This window comes from Homo sapiens, chromosome 7, assembly GCF_000001405.40.
Source record: "Homo sapiens chromosome 7, GRCh38.p14 Primary Assembly".
NCBI lineage: Eukaryota > Metazoa > Chordata > Mammalia > Primates > Hominidae > Homo > Homo sapiens.
In genome coordinates this window covers 70,444,242-70,463,724 of record NC_000007.14, presented here as the reverse complement: position 1 = coordinate 70,463,724, position 19,483 = coordinate 70,444,242, and the positions used below count along the sequence as shown (strand labels likewise).

Sequence of the window (19,483 nt, the reverse complement as noted above, 5' to 3'; positions counted from 1 at the left end):
GGGAGGTGTGCTCCATGCAGTGCAAGGCCATGCTCAATCTACCAAAGAGCAAGCGGGTGAAGACTTGGGGAAGGGCAGAAAGACAAGAGATCCATTTCCATGACCTCAAAAGATTGACAAGTGCGGTTCTTGTCAATTAACTGGCACTCCCAAGCTTATCAGCCATCAGAGGCTGCTCAATGTGCTGATTTATCACAGTTTGGCAAAACTCCTTGATCAACTCCCTGGAATGTGCTGGCAAGGTTATTCTAAATATAAGCTGGACAAAGTCCACTTCTTGCACGCTGCAACAAGTACTCCAATGTCCTACCAAGGGGGCATGAAACTCCCTCTCATGTTAAAGTCAGAATGTCAAATGGGAAGACTATGCTTATCTGGGTCTTATGAACAGAAAAATACAGCTGGGTCTTTAAGAATACTTTCTGCTAGGGTTTTCTACGGGTTTTTAGATTTTACTATTTGACCGTCTCTGTGCTCCTTTTCAAGGCTCTGCCAAAGTGAGTGAACAGGAACACTGTACCTTTATTGTGGCTGGAGAGCTCCAAGAAACTTCTACTAGAGATGGGTCCAAAACAGCTCACTGCCCTGAAACAGGAGATGTGTAGATCTAAACCCACCTTTCATCTGGAGACTCACAGGCCTACGGCTTTCTAGTGAAAGTATCTGAACCCAACCAAACTTGCCAATCAAAATTTAGGCTCAGGTAGTTGGAGAACCAAATGAGTGATGATTGACTTTGTTCTCCCCAGCAGATTTTTTTTTTTTTTGAGACGGAGTCTCGCTCTGTCACCCAGGCTGGAGTGCAGTGGCGCAATCTCGGGTCACTGCAATCTCCGCTTCCCGGGTTCAAGCAATTCTCCCTGCCTCAGCCTCCCGAGTAGCTGTGACTACAGGCACCTGCCACCACACCTGGCTAATTTTTATATTTTTAGCAGAGAGGGGGTTTCACCATATTGTTCTGCCTAGTCTCGAACTCCTGACCTCAGATGATCCACTCACCTTGGCCTCTCACAGTGCTGGGATTACAGGTGTGAGCCACTGCACCCAGCCTAGATTTTTTTTTAGTGGCAACATCCAGTGGTGACTAGGAGATCTATCTAGATTAATGATCACGTCATGGTTGTACATGATCACAACTATAGGATGTAGAGAGAAGTGCAGGAAATAAAATTTTTTAAAAAATTGGAAGGGCCCTTAGAAATTATTTACTTGGCTAGTTTCTCCTCCAACATTTTATTATGAAAATTTTCAAACATAGAGAAAAGTGGTATTTTAGAGTGAATACCTATATACCCACCACTGACTTTATTAACACTGTACTACACTTGCTTTATCATGTGTCTCCCCATCTACCCAGCTCATTATGTATCTATCAATCCATCTTCTTTTTAATTGCTTTTTTCCAAAAAAGAAAAACCCCAATCAACCCCTATCCACTTTATTTTATTATTTTTATTTTGTTTTTGTTTTTTCGACACGGAGTCTTGCTCTATCACCCAGGCTGGAGTGCAGTGACTCAATCTCGGCTCACTGCAACCTCCGCCATCCAGGTTCAAGTGATTCTCCCGCCTCAGCCTCCTGAGTAGCTGGGACTACAGACGCATGCCACCACACCTGGATAATTTTTGTATTTCTCATAGAGATGGGGTTTCACCATGTTGGCCAGGCTGGTCTCAAACTCCTGACCTCAGGTGATCTGCCTACCTCAGCCTCCCAATATGCTGGGATTACAGGCATTAGCCAGCGCACACGGCCCCTTTCCGCTTTAAAAAGCTATTTAAAAAACACTTTCTCAAATCAACTCTTTTGAGAAAGGCCAATGAAACAGATAAAAATCAAGCTTCTCTGATTGACGCAGAGTCAGAGTTAGGCCCCTGATGTCCTGACAACCCACGCCCACCTCCACCTGTCCCCAGGTGCCACGGAGGACCCTGAGAAATGACAGGCAACTCCTCACCTGGGAAGGGTGTGGTTCTATCCTACCACACCCTTGTTATGTGTCCTAGGGTAATTTATCTCATTACCGTTCAGTTTTCTTAGTTGGAAAGAGGAGATGATAATTACACAAAACAATTCAAAACTAGCAACGTATTCCTGGCATATAATAAGTAAATGCTTTCTCAATGTTAGCGATTACTATGATCATTACTAGTATTAACATTATCATTACCACCACATGTCTCAGAGAGAATGCAGCTTCAAAGCGGATGCGCACCTAAGAGGAAAATGGTGGGAAGCCTGGGTGGGAACGCAGGGACTCGGATCCCACTGCTGAGCCCATCATCAGCCTTTGGTAACTAAGCCAAGCTCACAGTGGTACATAATTGAGAAAAACCCTTGTGTCCTCCCTCTCTTGAAGGGATGGTTTAAAGATTAAATGGGAGGGTAAGTTCAAACATTCAGGAAGCAGAATTTCTGCAGCAGTTCGAAGCGTTCCTATTGACATTATTAAAGGTGTTGTTCCAGGCACTGATGAGCTGTGATAGCCATGATGCCACTTGAAAAATAAAGAGTTCCTTTTTTCTGCCCTTAAGTTACCTACAAAAGTTGTTCAGGGTGACTTTTCCAACACTCTTATTGCTGCCGTCATCTTCCCCTAAAGAAAAATCTCATCATCCTGTTCCTCCGTGAAACCAAACTAAACCAAAGCTTCAACTAACCCAGGGGTTGGTTTTTCAAGGTCCTTTATGACCTGACACCCAAATGCCTTCCTAGACTTATCTGTCACCACTTACCTTCTGCCCTTCCCAAACCCAGGGCTCACACCTGCCAGGTCTCCCAATCCCCCAGTTCTTCTGGGGCATACCATCCCATTCCATGTGTCTGTGATTTTGCAGAGCCGAGAAATGCAGGACTGACTGGGCACCAGCAAGGCACCATGCAGGCATTTTTACAAGCTTTCTCACACTAAAGCATACTAAAGGGTTGAGAACACTTCCAGTGATACCTTACAGACCAGGAAATGGAGACAGAGACATTCGAAGTAAATTAAGCCAGGCCTCAGGGCTGATAAGTGCCAGAGGCCTGATTCTCACAATAGGAAGCCGAAGCTGACCCCACTCTAAGACCAGGCTCAGCGGGTGGGGTGGCTCAGGCTTGTAATCCCAGCACTTTGGGAGGTTGAAGCGGGTGGATCACCTGAGGTCAGGAGTTCGAGACCAGCCTGGCCAACATGGTGAAACCCCATCTCTACTAAAAGTATAAAAATTAGCCAGGCATGGTGGCACATGCCTGTAATCCCAGCTACTCAGGAGGCTGAGGCCGGAGAATCACTTGAACCTGGGAAGTGGAGCTTGCAGTGAGCCAAGATCGTGCCATTGCACTCCAGCCTGGGTGACACAAGCGAAACTCCATCTCAAAAAAAAAAAAAAAAAAAAAAAAAAAAAGACCAGGCTGTCCTTGCTGAGGTTGGCTGCCTCCTTCTCGGGCTGGGGACCTCTCAGGACACGGTCCGCTTCCACTACTTCCGGGAAACCCTCACCTTTCTGGTCCCTCCTTCGACCTCCTGTGGCACTTCGCACAGACTTCAGGGGAATCAGAGAGAAGATGCAGCAACAGGACAAAGTAGGCAGGGTAGCTGGGCAGCCCTGCTTGGAATGCTGGTTTTAAACTTCACTAGTTGGTGGGGAGTTCCCTCCTCTATACGGTATGGAAAGTGATGCCTCCACCTCCCGGGGCTGTGGGGATGACTGAATGAAGTAACGTCTATTGGGGGCCTGGTCCATGGGGCCTTGCTTGTTCAGTGTTAGATCCTCCACCCTTCTGTAGAATTGTTATGTTCCTGTTGTAAAGACTGGACTCATAGTCATGAGGGCACACTGAGGGCTGGGGCTGGCTTTGCCATGAGGACCATGAGACCCTCTGCCCCACAGTCTGGCTCTGTTGTCCTTGGCTTATCCCGGAAGGAGTCTCACTGAACCTACAGTGCAGTTCATCCAGGAGGCACCCAAAGGAAGCTCCCAGGTCTACATTCCAATCCCTGGCCCATCCCCTTTGAGCTGCAAAGAAGCCTGAGGCACTGCTTTCATTACTTCAGTTTTACAGGTAATTAAGCCCAGGTGAGTGGGATGTGTATTTTGTAAAACACACAGTGCCTTGTCTGAGTTTAGACTTAGGTTACACTCTGAGATGGTTTCCCAAAAGTAACTGAGAAAACTGATAAGAATGTCTTCTCTGGACACAGCCAGCCAGGAGTTTTAAAAGAGCTGGGGCTCACACGGACCCTGGACTATGTATGACAGCTTAGCTATCGGAGTGGTGAGCTGGCCTTGAAGTGTATGACAGTTCACTAATGGGCTAGGAACTTTGGAGAGAAACACACTCAGCTTACAAAAAGAGTTGAAGGTACCACTTTTGGAAACCAAACACCTTCCATTTCTCCTGGGCGCTTATTCCAGAGTCTTCCTAATCAAGAACTACATTGTGCCTCAATTTCAAGGATGGTCAGCAAACATCATTTTCCCACCACTAAATGCTATGCAGAAAGAAATCTGTTCCCACAGAATCTAGTGAGACAAAGAAGAAAAAAGCCACATGACTAATGACCTGAAGAAAAGCATGGGTGTTTGTAATCCAAATTAACAACTAAGGGTAGGAATATGGCATCTGTTCTTCCTCACTTTTAGGTTTAAATGAAACTCAGTCTTAGTTCTCTCTCCCGGGGAAACCACACAACCACAGCTAATAATGAAGAGAGTCCTGAGCCATCCTATGTGTGGACTGTCTGCATTGTGGCTGTCTCTGAGGAGGCCCGGGTCGGGAGTAAGTTGCAGGGAGCGACAGGCAGCTGCACTGTCCATGGCCCTGAGATCTCGCAAGTGTCTCCCGTGTGGATGGAGCAGCTTGGTGCTATTCCCCCTCAGTGGTCCATGCTGCAGTCACGTGCACAGCACAATTGTCAAGAAGCTCCACAACAAATTCTGGGTGACACAATCTAGCGAGAAAACACAAGCTCCCACCAGACAAGGAAATGGCTTTTCCGTGTTTGGGTTTATTCCTAAAGTATGGTCCCCGAGGAGAAATTCCTGAAAAAATTCCCCACCAATTGCCTGGAAACATCAACAAAGGGAGAAGGGAGGTGGAACATGCCTCCCGCTTCCCTCCACCCTAAAAAACAACTACTTCCTGTTTAAGGATCAAAAAAAGAGAGGAGCAATTCACCTACTAAGAAAGCCCGGCCACTTGGCAGCCATCCAAGAATCTAAAACCTTGAATTTTGAAAACATAATAGACAAGAGAGTCAGCTTTAGAAAAGATTTCATCTATCAGCTAACAAGAGGCTGGGGTCATGAAGTAGGGTATTCTTTATACTTGAGAGACCATGCTAAAAATCTCAGAAACATACCAGAAGGACCAGAGCTGGGGGGAGCCAGGCGCAATGCTCTTAGCATGTAATAGAGGTTGCTGTTTCAAGGAGGCTTATCATTTCTTCTGACATCCTGACAGAAATGTGTAATATAGAAGTTTAGCAATGTGGGCAGGTTAAATTATACGAGGCAGAGGAAATCATTTCACTGTGAATTGGAGCATTGCTGTGGGCCACTCCAGGCTGAGCCGGCAGCCTCCTGCCAGGGCCCCCACTGCTCCTTCTAGAAGGAGGGGTGGCCTGAGGCAGACACAGTCTGGAAGAATGTGGGCTCAAGGGCTCATGTTTACTAAGTAACACCCTTGAAAGGGAATTTGGCGGTTGTGGGGCTTTGTGTTCAGCCTTTTCTAGGCCCCTCTCACTCTCTTGGAAATGGGAGGCGTGTGGCCTGAGGGGCCCTTAGAAACCGAGAGGAGGACACACAAGTCCAGTGGGTGTTCCAGCAAAACCCTCTGTTCCCCACCATTTCCTACACCCAGGAAGTAACAAAAAAGCACTGTTCAACAAAACGGCTCAGAAGATTCTGAAGGGCCTTTTAATCATCAGAGAAAGACTAAATTCCACTCAGTAAAATTTGAGTTTAGCATAGTTAACTGCAGCCTGAGTCTTTTAAACCAGGCATCTGCGGCTCTGTATGGGACACATCCCTATTGAGCAGACTGACTCATTTGTACCACCATGGTAAATTCCACTCCCTCCACCACCCCCACCTCTGTCCAATGCAGTCCATCCACAAGGCAGAAAAAAAGTACATATCAAGGCACCTTTCCTCACCAGGACAAAAAATACTTGTCTTTCCACCGTACTTTAGTCATATTGGTTGTGGACAGAAAAAATGAACACTGCTTCTGTGTGATTTGTGACTGGGTTTCCTGGTGGATTCAGAGAAGTTCCCTCCTCAGGTGAGAGGCACTGTTCCTCTGTTCCTACCCCTCCAGAAGGAGAGAGGACGTGTCTGAGGTGTGGACACAAGGGGAGGGAAATCATGATCCTCGGTGATCACTGGCATTTTTAATAAGGCGATGGCTACTAAGCACCACCTGTGGCATGCAGGACTTCATCACACCTAATTAAACCATTCCACGGGGTGGGTAAAGTGAGCCCCGTTTACAGGTGGGAAAACTGAGGCCCCCTCACACAGCTGGTGGGCACAGCCCCGGTCAGTTATTGTAGTTTCCACTACACTGAGCTGCCTGGAAGAAAGGGAACGTAAGGCTGTGTCCCCACACCTAGAGCAGCACTGTTCACTGTCACACTGACTGTCCCAGGCACAGGAGTAGTATCTCACACACACTCTGTTTTGGAGGACGCATTTGAGAAAATAGAACACATTAATAAACAGTCCTGATCAAGCACCTGCTTGGGGGTGGAGATGAAGATGACTTCCTGAGCTCAACTTTCAGGCTTCTCCGGCAGCCGCTGCCCCAAAGTCAAACTGCAGGAAGTCGCTGCAGGGAGGCAAGGCTGCAGGGGCCCAAGCAAGTCACACTTCACACTCCAGGGCCCACCAGCTGACATGTGCAGCCAGGTGAAATCAGGTTAAAAATCAACATCCAAGGTGGCTGCAGCTGGGAGGAGAGGTCATCAGAGGTGGTTGTGTGGGATTGAAGGGCTGGGGATGGAGAGGCAGAACCCCTTCCAGCCACAGTGAGTGGAGCCAGGCTGGGATGGCCCAGTTGTGTGCTCTGAACACCTATGGGTGGACACCTAGATCCTCCAGCCAGAAGGCTGGCCTGCCTGCCCTCAGCAGAGAAGTGTGCCCAGGGCCACTGCCTTCAGTCACAGTGCAGCCCTGCTAGTGGCTTCTGGCCCCTTCCCAGCTCTTCTGTCCTGTCTATGTGGTCTGGAAATCTCGCTGATATTGGTGTCTCTGAACACTTTACAGTAAGTGGGCATTAATTAATGCTAAATGACAACAGAATTTCTCCCAAATTGCACATGACACTCGCATTAAGAGCAAACATGTTCATTTGGATAGATGTTATTACGGTGAGTATCACAAGAATTAACAATGATTTGCTAATGATATGAAGTAAACACTCTTTAAGAGTTCCCTTTAAGTAAAGTAAAAGTAAAAGTAAAAGCTTTTAGGTGTGATTGTTAATTGCAGTAACAATTTGGCCATGGCTATGTAAATCTTACATGGATGGAGTTGGTGGGAAGTGGCTGGGGGCACCAGAGCCAAAGCCAGTGGGCCAGTCTGCCCTTGAACTTCCGTGCTGGGTTAGGGGGAAGTTGAGGGTTTTTAAAGCACCATGATGTGCATACATATAACCTGTGCATAAACATCTTATTACATCCTCACAGCAATCCTGTGAGGCAGGTATTAGTACCACACTAGCTTTAAAGCTGAGGATACTGAAGTTTAGAGGCCGGTAGGTGACTGACAAAGCTCACATGGCTAGTAAGTAGCACAGCTGTTACCAAAAACAGGTTTCCCTGACCCCAAAGCTCATGGTTTTCTCCTAAAAACTGTGTATTTGCCAGGCAGGCTATGCATCAGTAGTCCCAGGGTTGCTTTTAGAAATATAGATTCCTGTACCTCACCTGGAAACTTCTTTTTTTTAATTGTAGCGACAGAGTCTCACTCTGTCACCCAGGCTGAAGTGCAGTGGCATGATCACAGCTCACTGCAGCCTTGAACTCCTGGCCTCAAGTGATCCTCCCACCTTGGCCTCTTGAAGTAGCTGAAACTACAGGCATGAGCCACCACACCTGCCTAAGAAACTTCTGAATCGGAATGTCCAGGGTATTGCCAAAGTGCCTCTCTGAGCACAGCACTCTGAGTGACTGTGATGTGTAGCCAGGTAGGGAACCACCTCTCCACGCTCAGCTGCTGGGAAGTCCCGCGTTCCTATCTAGCTGCCTACCAGGTATTCCATGTCTTCTTGTACCCTGCAGGCCAGGTCATATTTGGCTTGCTAACAATCCAATCAGACGAATGAGCCAGGGCCAGGCACAGATGCTGCGGGCATCTTCACTCTCCCCACTTCAGTCCTTGCCATTGCCACCTGTAGCACCCAAGATGAAGGCCACCAGGAATAAGGTGGTCCAGGCCCCACCACAAGCACAGTGGAAATAAAGCTGCATGGTTAGGGGCTTCTTCCCACCCACCCCAGGGTTTGGGAATATGACAGTAATCTTACTATTACCCACAATTCCCCTGACATTCTCCATCCATTATGGGCATTACATTCAGGAGTGAGAACAGTACCAACTTCAGCACCAAAGGCTTGCTCCTAAGTCAGAACTGGCAAACGAACATAAACAAACAAACAACAACAACACATGGGTATGTGGAAGTCTGTGTGGTGGGTGTGGCTGACAAGGGAAAGGGAAGCAAAGAATCAACAAGGGTACTGGACTCCCTCCACCTGGCTTTAGGCTATGAAGCAGCAGTGGGCCCTACTGTCCAGTGACAACAGGAACAGCAGCTCGTGGAATGGTCTAGAGCTCAAAGCACTCCCGAGGCCTGCATTTCATCTTTGCCACAGCCTTGGGAGGTATGAATTCTTGCTGAGGTTCTAGAGAGGTCCAGTAGTGTGCTTTGCACAGCAGCAGGTGGTGATGAGGTCTGCACCTTCAGAATCCAAGACCAAACCTTAAGCCCACTTTCCTCCTCAGTGGATTCCAGAGATAGGCAGAGTTAGAAACTCAAAGGCGATGGTGGTTTATCAGTGTGACTGAGCAGGGAAACGCTCAGTCGCAAAGTGCTGGGATTACAGGTGTGAGTCACCGTGCCCGGCCCGAGTAGTTACTATTACGGGCCACATCATTCTAGGTATTTTATATATAAATTTTTATTTTTTGTTTTTGAGATGGAGTTTTTTGTTTCACTCTTGTTACCCAGGGTGGAGTGCAATGGCGTGATCTCGGCTTACTGCAACCTCTGCCTCCTGGGTTCAAGCGATTCTCCTGCCTGAGCCTCCAGAGTAGCTGGGATTACAGGTGCCTGCCACCACGTCCAGCTAATTTTTTTGTATTTTTAGTAGAGACGGGGTTTCACCATGTTGGCCAGGCTGGTCTCGAACTCCTGACCTCAGGTGATCCACCCGCCTCGGCCTCCCAAAGTGTTGGGATTACAGGCGTGAGACACCACACCTGGCCTTTATATCTAGATTTTTAATAGCGTTAAAAAACAGCGTTACCTTCCCCAAAAAAAGAGAGACCCCCATTCAGATCTTTTTGTCTGACACACTGGGGGTGTGGAAGCCCGCATCCTTGGTGGCAGTCATAGTTCTTCGACCACCCACAAACTATGTCCTCCGCCTCTTTCTTGCTAACAGAAGACAGCACAACGCCAACCCACAGGGGACAATCATGATGGGTCATGGAAATCCTTGCCCCTCTTTGCCAGATCTTTGCTTTTCCTTTCTCTCTCACACTTAGGAATGGACTCTTCTAGCCAAGGGGACATACAGGACACATGACCGCCTGTCTCCTTGTCTGCCTTGAATGTGTTTTGTAAGGCCCGCAAATGTTACCTTACAAGGAAAAAGTATCTTTGCAGATAGGACTAATTAAGAATCCCGAAGTGAGATTTTCTTGGATTATCTGGATAGGCCCTAAATGCCACCACGAGTGTCCTTATAGGAGAGAGGCAGGCGGAGATGAGACACACGAAAGAGGAAAAGGCCACATGAAGACAGAGGCAGAGATGAGAATGATGCTGCCAGAGCCAAGGAATGCTGGTGGCAACCAGAAGCTGGACAAGGCAAGGAACAATTCTCCTTTAGAGCGTCTGGGAGGAATGTGGCCCTGCTGATGCCTTGATTTTGGCCCAGTGAAACTGATGCTTAACTTCTAGCATCCAGCATGCCAAGAAGATACATTTCTACTGTTTTAAGCCGCCAAGTTTGTGATAATTCATTAGAACAGCCACAGGAAACTAATACACGGACAAAGCCACTATCAGGCATTCTGTTACTTAAACTGAACACATCCTATGTTACATTGCTCTGTAGCGCTTGCCAAGGTAATGCTTAGGAAGGACTGACAGAGATTTCACTCTCACTTCTGACCATAAGAGATACTTACTAGAAAGTGTGTTTTCTGGATCACAGACGCTGAGAAGTCTCCCCCGTCATCTTTTAGACAGCAACGCTATCATTAAAATTCCCATCATTGTTTCATTGGCAGTGAATTAATGCCATGTTGCCAAAGCCCACATTCTTTGAGGGGCACACTGGCAGGCAGGGGACCCATGGTGCCCTTATCCTGAAGCACACATTAGGACCCCTGAAAGCTTCACCTCCTGGGTATGCATCACACAAGAGGCTCCATTTTAGCAAACAGTGTAAAGAAGAGCTCTTGGGGTTGGAAGTTCAAGACAGGATAGGGAGGTGGGGAAGGGACAGGGGAGGAGAGAGGGGCCCAGGAGGCTGGAGAAGATACTTAAAATCTCACACCACACAACATTAGTAAATTCAACAGGAATTAAGTTAAAAGCCTCCTCTAAAGGAAAACCAGAGCTTAGGTGGAGGGGGACATGGGTGAAATCTACTCAGATTATAAAGGCTGTCTTTGCTGTCCATCTTCCCTTGGGGGCCCACCGCCTGTGCTTTACTGGGTATATCCTGGGCCTCCAAAGCTTAGTGATTTCCTGCGGATTCTCTTGCCACAGGGAACTTCTTTCTAAATTTCAGACTGATGACATGGCCATGTTTCAAAGCCCTCTGATCTTCTACCTCTTTAAGACACTTATGTTTTGGATCCCATTTCCTAAAAGGCCTGATCCTGGGGTGCTGATTTGGCTGTAATAAATGAATCTTGCTAATGTGTGTTATGGTTTTTTGCAGGGTAAGTCGGTCAATGGTGGGGGACCAGCAGGAGGAAACAGGGTGGAAGGGACTGAAATGTAAAATTTACTGAATCCTTATTATTATTAATAGTAGTATTATTGAGACAGGATCTTGCTCTGTCGCCCAGACTGGAGTGCAGTGGTGCAATCTCAGCTCACTGCAACCTCCGCCTCCCGGGCTCACGCAATCCTCCTCCCTCAGCCTCCCAATTAGCTGGGACTACAGGCACTTGCCACCACATCTGACTAATTTTTATTTTTTTTGTAGAGATGGGGTTTCACCATGTTACTCAGGTTGGTCTACACCTTGGCCTCCCAAAGTGCTGGGATTACAGGTGTGAGTCACAGTGCCTGACCTGAGTAGTTACTATTATGGGCCATATAATTCTAGGTATTTTATATCTAGATTTTTAAAAGGAAAAACAACAACAACAACAAAAACAAAAAAACACAAAAGCAGAAGCTTAGAAGCATTAGTAAACTGCCCAAGGCCGCAGTCACACAGCACTATGTTGCTAGAGCTGGAAGTGTGGTATCATATCTCTCTACCTTTCTAGGCGTTTCCTATATCCAAAGCTATATGGCCTCATGCTGTCTTACTCCCACAGAGCCCCTCAGAACCAGACCTCTCAGAGCGGCGACCTGGCTGCTGCTGGGTGGCCCAGTTCATGCTGTGGGGCTGATTCCATTCCAGTTTCCTTAAGGAAAGCAATAGGATCTCAGGCTATAAGTGAGTTACTGTTTGGTCCACTGGAAGTTAGATGTTAAAATATCATCACTAAGGATACTGTGGTATAACCCCAATACTGACCCTAGAAGGCATGGGGATATTATCACCAAAGCATTACGACTTTGTTTCAGTTCATCCCGTTTCAAAGTTCCTCATTTCTAAAATAAATATTTAACATCCTTTCATCCAGGGTGTTTCTTATGAGGTTTAAATGAACTATATATGGTACTTTAACACATGTGGCATAAAAAAACTACATAGGTTGCACAACCATGTGAGTGTGCTTACCATTACTACTGAAATGTACATTTAAAAATGGTTAGGATGGTAAATTTTATGTTATGTGTATTTTGCCACAAATGAAAAAATAAAGATATGTACAGTAAAAAAAAAAGCTATACAAATATCAAGTGCTACGATTAATATACAGTTATTTTGTAGTTTAAAAAATAATTTCAATTTTTATTTTAGATTCGGGGGTACATGTGTATGTTTGTTACATGGGTATATTGAGTGATACTGAGGTTTGGGCTTCTAATGATCCCATTACCCAGGTAGTGAGCATGGTACCCAATAGTTATTCAACTCTTGCCTTCCTCCCTACCTTCCCTCTCTACTAGTCCCCAGTATTTATTTTGTTTTTAATGGTTATCATCACCACGTATATTTATTCCTGTAGACACAGACAAAATCCCAGTGTTCTGGCTGGCCTCCCACTCATTCCCCTATAGCTCCATCTCTGCTACTAAGGTAGTTTTGTCTCCCAGACACTGAACTAAAATTGGGATCACTCCTGCATCATCAATATGTACTCTCTTCTGACCTCATCCAGCTGAAGGTCCTGAAAGCCCCTCCCTGAGCTCCTATTTTCTCCATCCCCCCACTTTCGCTGTGTGATTGATGGCATCATCAATACTGACCCAGTCAGCCTGACTTGAAACCTGAGTCATCCACGATTCCTCCCTTGACCCCCCTTCCCAGTGGTCACAAAATCATCACTTCAGAAATGCCTCTAAAATCAGACTCCTTCTTTCCACATTAGTTTGGTTGAGATCTCTATCACCTCTCAAATCCCCCATTATGACAACTTTCACCCCCTTTCACTCCATCCTTCATGCCACTGCCTGAATCCTCCTCCAAAATGTCAATTCTGATGTGTCATTCACCTACATAAGGTACCCAGTGGCTTCCATCTGGATCAAGTCCAAACTCTCATCTTGCCGTGCAAGGCCTGTTTTTATGGAACTGTGTATACCAACATATGTTTACAGTCTCATCTTCCCCCCAACACTGCCATGGACCCTGACCAAACAAACAGAAGTTTTCATGCTTCTCTCCACATGCTAAGCCTTTCCTAACTCTGTTATTTGCAAATGATATCCCCTTTGCCTGTGATCTACCCCATTCTTGCTACCTAGTAACATCTATTCCATGTGCTGCAGCAAGATCTAACTCAATTGCTTCCTCCCTTACAGAGTATGGCTCAGTTTTTTGCATTCAGACATCATGCCATTCCTCAGAAACAGCATACGCTACGGGGTCTTGTAATTCATCTAGGTACCTCAGCTTTCCCTTCAATTAGGCCATATTTCCCTGAAGGTTTTCTATGTCTTTGTCTTCTTCCCATCCCTAGTTCCCATGACAGTGCTTGGCTTAGCATACAAGTGAGGATTAAATTTGTTGAATGAAACATGAGTGAAAGAAGCTATGAGTGAGTTACTATTTTCTAGTCTTAGGAACATCACTTCAGGAAGGCTGCCTGCTGAAGTTTAAGTAGTACTGCATGGCATGCAAATTGGATTCTCCAGGTTGACCACAATCCCTTTGGACAAAGAAGTTTCATTTTGTACCCTAGATATGTAATTTACTAATTGACATTCCTTGAGATCTTTGTGTCTCTCAAGGTGGCTGTCTTATACTTGGGTGGGGCAGGGGAGTAATTCATTAGCTACTATAGGTGTACTTAAAATATTAATAAATTCTGGACTTTTCTAAGTGCATGTACACATGAACTCTCACTCTACAAAATCCTGTGTATTTCTATGGCTTTTAATAGCTTAAGCAAGATAGAACTAATCTGTGAATAGCACTTAAAATGACTCTATGAATATTTAGGCAATTATTATACATAATTGTAAATACGTATCCATATTTGAGATTTTGTGATCACTATAAAGTGTCAACTTTGGATGACCCAGGCAGCTTCTATGGCTGTCAAGAATTTATGCCTGTAAGTAGTGCCTCATCCAAATGGCAGGAAGATTAGGTTTTGCTTCCTAGAACCCACTGCTGCAGGCCCAACTCCTAACTTTCTGGGTTCTCTACTGACTCCAGCACCATGTACAGAGGCACCTCTAGAGAAGCACATTTGGACAACATGGTCCCGTCTCTCTACCCATAACTGACCAATCCAGGTGTAAGCACCTGGCTTAAGTTACACCAACCCACAATCCTTTCCTGAGCTAATCTCAGCCAGTCAGAATCTCTCCCTTGGATCTTAGCAATGGCAGTGGAAAAGGAGAGACAGTCTCTCTGCCTGTAGCTAAAACTGAAAAGTGGATGGGTCATGATTTCTACCAAAAGGAGAAACGAAGTCTCCGAAATTATCAAGATTCAAGTGGACGGGCAAAAATAAGTAGAGACAAAGCAAGGAGGGCATTTAGCCCTCTGCTCACTGTTTCTGATATCCAGTTGCCTGGCTCTGCCCTTCTGATGGTTTGGTTATTTTAACACATTTAAATTCCAAAAGCCTAAACATTTCATTATTTGTTAGTTTAATGTATGTTATTTGAAACAAAAAGAGTCTTTAAAAGGTAACTCTATTAACATAAACACAGTCAAAGCTGTTACAACTTAAGAGTTTCAAAAGGATCCAATGACTTCATGAAGTCTCTTCATACGGAAGGGTGGAGTTGCACTGTAAGCATGTGAGCATGTGGAGGTCCATTATTTTGTCCAGCTACAGAAAATGGATAAGCCCCTTTATAATGAACAATTGCTTGGTAATTGATTTGTTGGGTAAACTCTGATTTTTCTCAATGTCTACTCTTCTTAAAGTAGGCCTCCTTGCACAGCATTGGACGTCCAGTAAAGGGGTGAGGGTGCAAGTGTAACTTACTTAAACGCACCAACTAAATAATCCACATATGTTGTCATGCTGTCTCTGAGGAATACATTATTTAAAATTATTGCTGCATTCTAAACGACCATCTGAGAGAAATAATTACTGTTCCATGACTGGATCAATACTTTTGTTCTTATTCTTTACTACTTGAGTGATTGGATCTAAGGCTAGAGGAGAAACTAAGGTCAATCCCCTGGACCTATGGTAATCTAGCAGGGAAGATCAATGTGTGTGCTTGTGAGCCCAAGGAGGGGAGCGGGGGCAGGGAGGACAATTCTTAGTGTGCTAACTTAATTTTAAATTTCTCAGTGAGAAAAGCCATGCTTATCTATGGCTCTTCTGTTGCAGCATTTAAAAAACTGCCCTGAAGGTACAACTCACTTTATGTCTGGCTTATTGAATAAATTCATGAATTACAACCCTATCATGTACACAGGTGATGGTAAGAATGGCTTGTCCATTCTGTCCAGGAGGGGTAACATTTCAAGCTTGGAATAGAAAGCGATGAGGCGGCTAGAGAGGTAAAAAGGGGTATTTCCGTGTCAGAACAAAAAGTCATGTCCACACTGTAGGCACGAGAGTACATTCAAGTGTCCAGCATTCGGAATCCACCAATATGGAATCTGCAGTCATTTTATTCTATATGGCAGCCTATGGGCCCTCATCCATATCCCACTAATTACTGGGAGACAACCTTAAATTGTCCTTTTAAAGAACATGATTCAACATAAGTTTATTACAGCCTTTCCAATAAGAATATAAAAGAATAAAGCATTTGCCAGAGTGACTGCTTAGTCTTAACCTATCAAAATAAATACCTTTCAAGCACCTTAGAAGCATCATTTGCATGCAAGTAATGTGCTAACTGCAAATGGGACTTATTAATTAATTAAAGCTCATCACAAAACATCTTCTTTGAGTGATATTTTGTTGGATGTTAGAGTTACAACAGAAAGTGATAAAATACTCTTTGAACATTTCCTTGTATTCCAACGTATTACAGTTTTCACTGGTCTTTTCCTATCAGCTCTCAGGCTTATTGGAATGTGGCATGTGGGAGAGTCCAGCTTAGCGGCTAAGAGCACTGCCACACTGACCTGGGTTTGAAACCTGCCTCTGCCATTAACCAGGAGCAAGACTGGGCATGTTCGGTAATACCTCTGTGATTCAGTTCCCACCTCTGTAAATGGGGGATAATATTAGCACCTACCTATTAGGATTGTACTGAAGACTAAACAAGTCAACATATGTATAGCACATCTAAGCACTATTTAAACAATAGTTACTTCTTTATCTCTCTGTAGCACTGAACACTAGAAACCATATAGAATTTGAAGTCAGAAGGCTATTTCTGCTACCATTAGCTGTATAATGTAAGTTACAGAACCTTTGAACCTCAGTTTCCTTATAAGTAGAATGGAGGTAATCACGCCTACACTCCATTGGGTTGGTGTGAGGACTGTATAAGATAATGTGTAAAACACCTTGGCAAACATTTCTAACTGGGTTGATGAGACTCTATCAGGCTCAGTCCAGCTACATGGCTGGACGTGGGTTCTGCCATAATGAGGACTTACGCCTCCTTTCTTCAGTCTGAACGTAGGCAGACAAGAACAATACAAATCAGCCCAAGGCTTGGCAGAGACTTGCACTTACCCTGGGCTCTCCTTAGAGAAGGAGTTTTTGCCTAATCCACCCTGGGGGCTGAAGTCATCAAGGAGAGAGAGCAGATGGCAGCAGCCACTGTGGGCGGCACCTGGTTATGTACACAAGGCAGCTAGTCACTTGCCAGTCCGGGACGTATAGAGACATAAACATCCCCTGGGTGGCTCCCCACAGAGTCTTTCCCTGCTTCTTTCTCAGGGCAAGGAGAGAGTAGCCCCTGCTTAGGCCACTGCCCGCAGCACCTCTGAGCAGGAAGTCAGGGCCCTTGGACTCCCCATCAGACCGCCTGCCTGAAGCACACACTGGAGCTGGGGAACTTGCCTGAGAAGCCAGTAAAATTTTAATGCACTCTGTAGTGCGGTCATGTCATACTCGGTTATGGCAAATAATCCCAGATGCCTGCAGAGGTAAAATGGAGCTGTAATGTGCTTGCCTCCTAACCCGAGCTGACAGCAATGATGTACGACTACCATTAGCGGAAAATATCACTTCAACTAACCCATGATCCAGCTCCGCTCAGGGTCACATTATCCATGAGGAACAAATTACACTCCCAAAGTAAATACAAATTTTCTACACAAAATGGGTACAAAAAAAGGGAAGGGGGTGATCCGTTCCCTTCGCCAGCACACTGCTGAGTGACACAGATGATAAAGGACAGGACAAATCATTGGCTGACAGAGTGTTGTGCCGTAATCAGCTCAGCCGGCACGCACTCCGGCCGATAAACACTATATTCTCCCCTTAGTGGCAAATACATAATCTTTAACATGGACATGGCTGCTTCAGGTATTTACTATCATTTGGGCTGCAGGAACAGCCCACGCAGCATTTGCTGTTAAAAAAGAAAAGGCCCTGTGGCCCTGATGGACCCAGACCTCTGTCAGGGTGAGAATCAGTGTCTGGGGATGGACAAGAGGGTTCTTGAGGGGGCGAATTATAACTCAGAACAAAACTACCTTAGAGGGTGCAGTGCAGGAGCCACCATGGAACCATGGCCCCTTCTCCTGTGTGGGGTCGTAGGAAGAAAATGGTCTGCAGGGACCATATGGGGTTCATGAGGCTCTGGACTGGAAGCTCAGAAGAAATTCCTCTGCTCCAGCCCTGCTCTTCCTGTGCTTTCTGAGTGACAGAGGCAAGGCCCTTCTCCTTTATGAGACTTGGATAACCAATAAAGCAACTTCTGGGTATAACACTAATATTTACAGGGCCGTATGTGTCAAGTACATGCTAGGCATGGGATGCTTTCAGGGAGTCTATGATTTAATAAAATATTAAATGTTTACACATATACAGACACTTAAAGGAAGACTGAGTTCTGTGTCCAAATATGGTTCATGCTAAGTCCACCGACTGGTGTAGCCTACATCCCTAATTAATCATGGGCTGACTTTGCTACCCATCTGTAAGAGTTAAAATATATACCTTGTATATAGCCCTTCCCTTCTCACCTTGGATAACTGCATTCCAGGCTAAAATAAGAAAAAAGTCCCACTTCAGAAGAGCCTGTACAATCTAAGTTGTTAGTAGACCCAAATTTTATTCGTTCCATGTTTCTTGAGAAACCGCCATGTTTGAATTTTTAGGAGTTAGTGCAATTGTTTGGGTGGGGGTGAGGGTGGATAGATAAACAGGATCCAGGTCTCTTGCAGCACAAGTAGGTGAGACACAGAGGGGATGACAGCATGAGCTCCTGAATGGCACTGCTAGGCTTATCCCAACTCACACTGACGTACGGGGAAGCAGCACGGCATGGGAAGAGGGCCCAGATTCTGGAATCCTAAGACACAACTTATATCTCAGCTCCATCACTTATGCCTCATTTTTCTTATTTGTAAAACAATGACACCTGCTTGAGAAGATAAAGCCTTGAAAAGCCCTAACAGAGAGTTTGGCACATGGTCAACGATGGTGTATGTGAGAATATATAGATCCCTACAATAAATACTTAAACAGATCTTATAAAATGATGTTTTTAAAAGTGTTTTGAATAATGCAATGTTCTCTTTCATGTGAAGTGGTGCTTATTATTACTATTTAGTTGCTATTATTGACCCTAATCTTAGTTTTTCACTGACCGAAGACATTAGTAGCATCTATATTTTTAGACCAGGAAATTAGGAACTTCAAAAACCACTAAGAGCACTAGAAAGAAAAGATGAAGCCCAAACTGGGCTCCTTGAGTACTACAACCACCCACCACAGGGCTTACTGGTCTTTCCTTATTTCAAAGACCCCATTCGGCTGTCTCCGTAAGTATATGAGTCAAGCCTGGTTTAGAACAACAAGGGAGAAAGCTGCTTCCAGCTTTCTTTGGGTTATTCTTCGGGTACCTGAAGAGGTCATGCAGGTCTACAGCTAGAACTTCTCAACATGCTCCTCATGGAAACTGATAGGGAAAATCTCTAACCTGTATAAAAGAGAACCAATTTGACCTTCCCAGCTGTAACTTTAATTAAAAAAGAAAACAGAAGTCCATTCATTTGTTGAATCTGGGGACTTCTTAAAGTATAAAGTTTAGATAATTATTAACACATCCTAATATAGATATTTGATTATATTTGTCACACTAGAATGGCACAGTTCTGAGGAGCATTTATCTGTAACTATCTTGCCATCCAGGAGTTGTCAAGGGGGATTAACTCTTTCTCTCTCTCTCTCTCTCTCACACACACACACACACACACACACACACACGTACATGACCAAAAAGTTCTATCTTCATTGAAGACAGAACACTCTGCAACCCTAATACAGTATAAGACAAATTCTCTGACAACCAAAGAGCCTCCCAGGTTA

The 19,483-nt window shown here is 45.1% G+C and overlaps 1 protein-coding gene across 25 annotated transcripts in view, besides 1 other annotated feature; it reads right to left on the bottom strand.

Moving 5' to 3' along the window:
- Positions 1-19,483, bottom strand: part of AUTS2 (activator of transcription and developmental regulator AUTS2) — a 1,195,032-nt gene that overhangs the window by 329,782 nt on the left and 845,767 nt on the right. The gene's annotated exons all lie outside the window — the stretch shown is intronic.
- Positions 11,256-11,379: a silencer, noted in NCBI's record as "fragment chr7:69917332-69917455 (GRCh37/hg19 assembly coordinates)". NCBI's record gives its function as "represses an EF-1alpha promoter that drives an FKBP-Casp9 reporter gene in an ReSE screen in HepG2 liver carcinoma cells {active_cell/tissue: HepG2}" and the evidence as "EXISTENCE:reporter gene assay evidence [ECO:0000049][PMID:32094911]".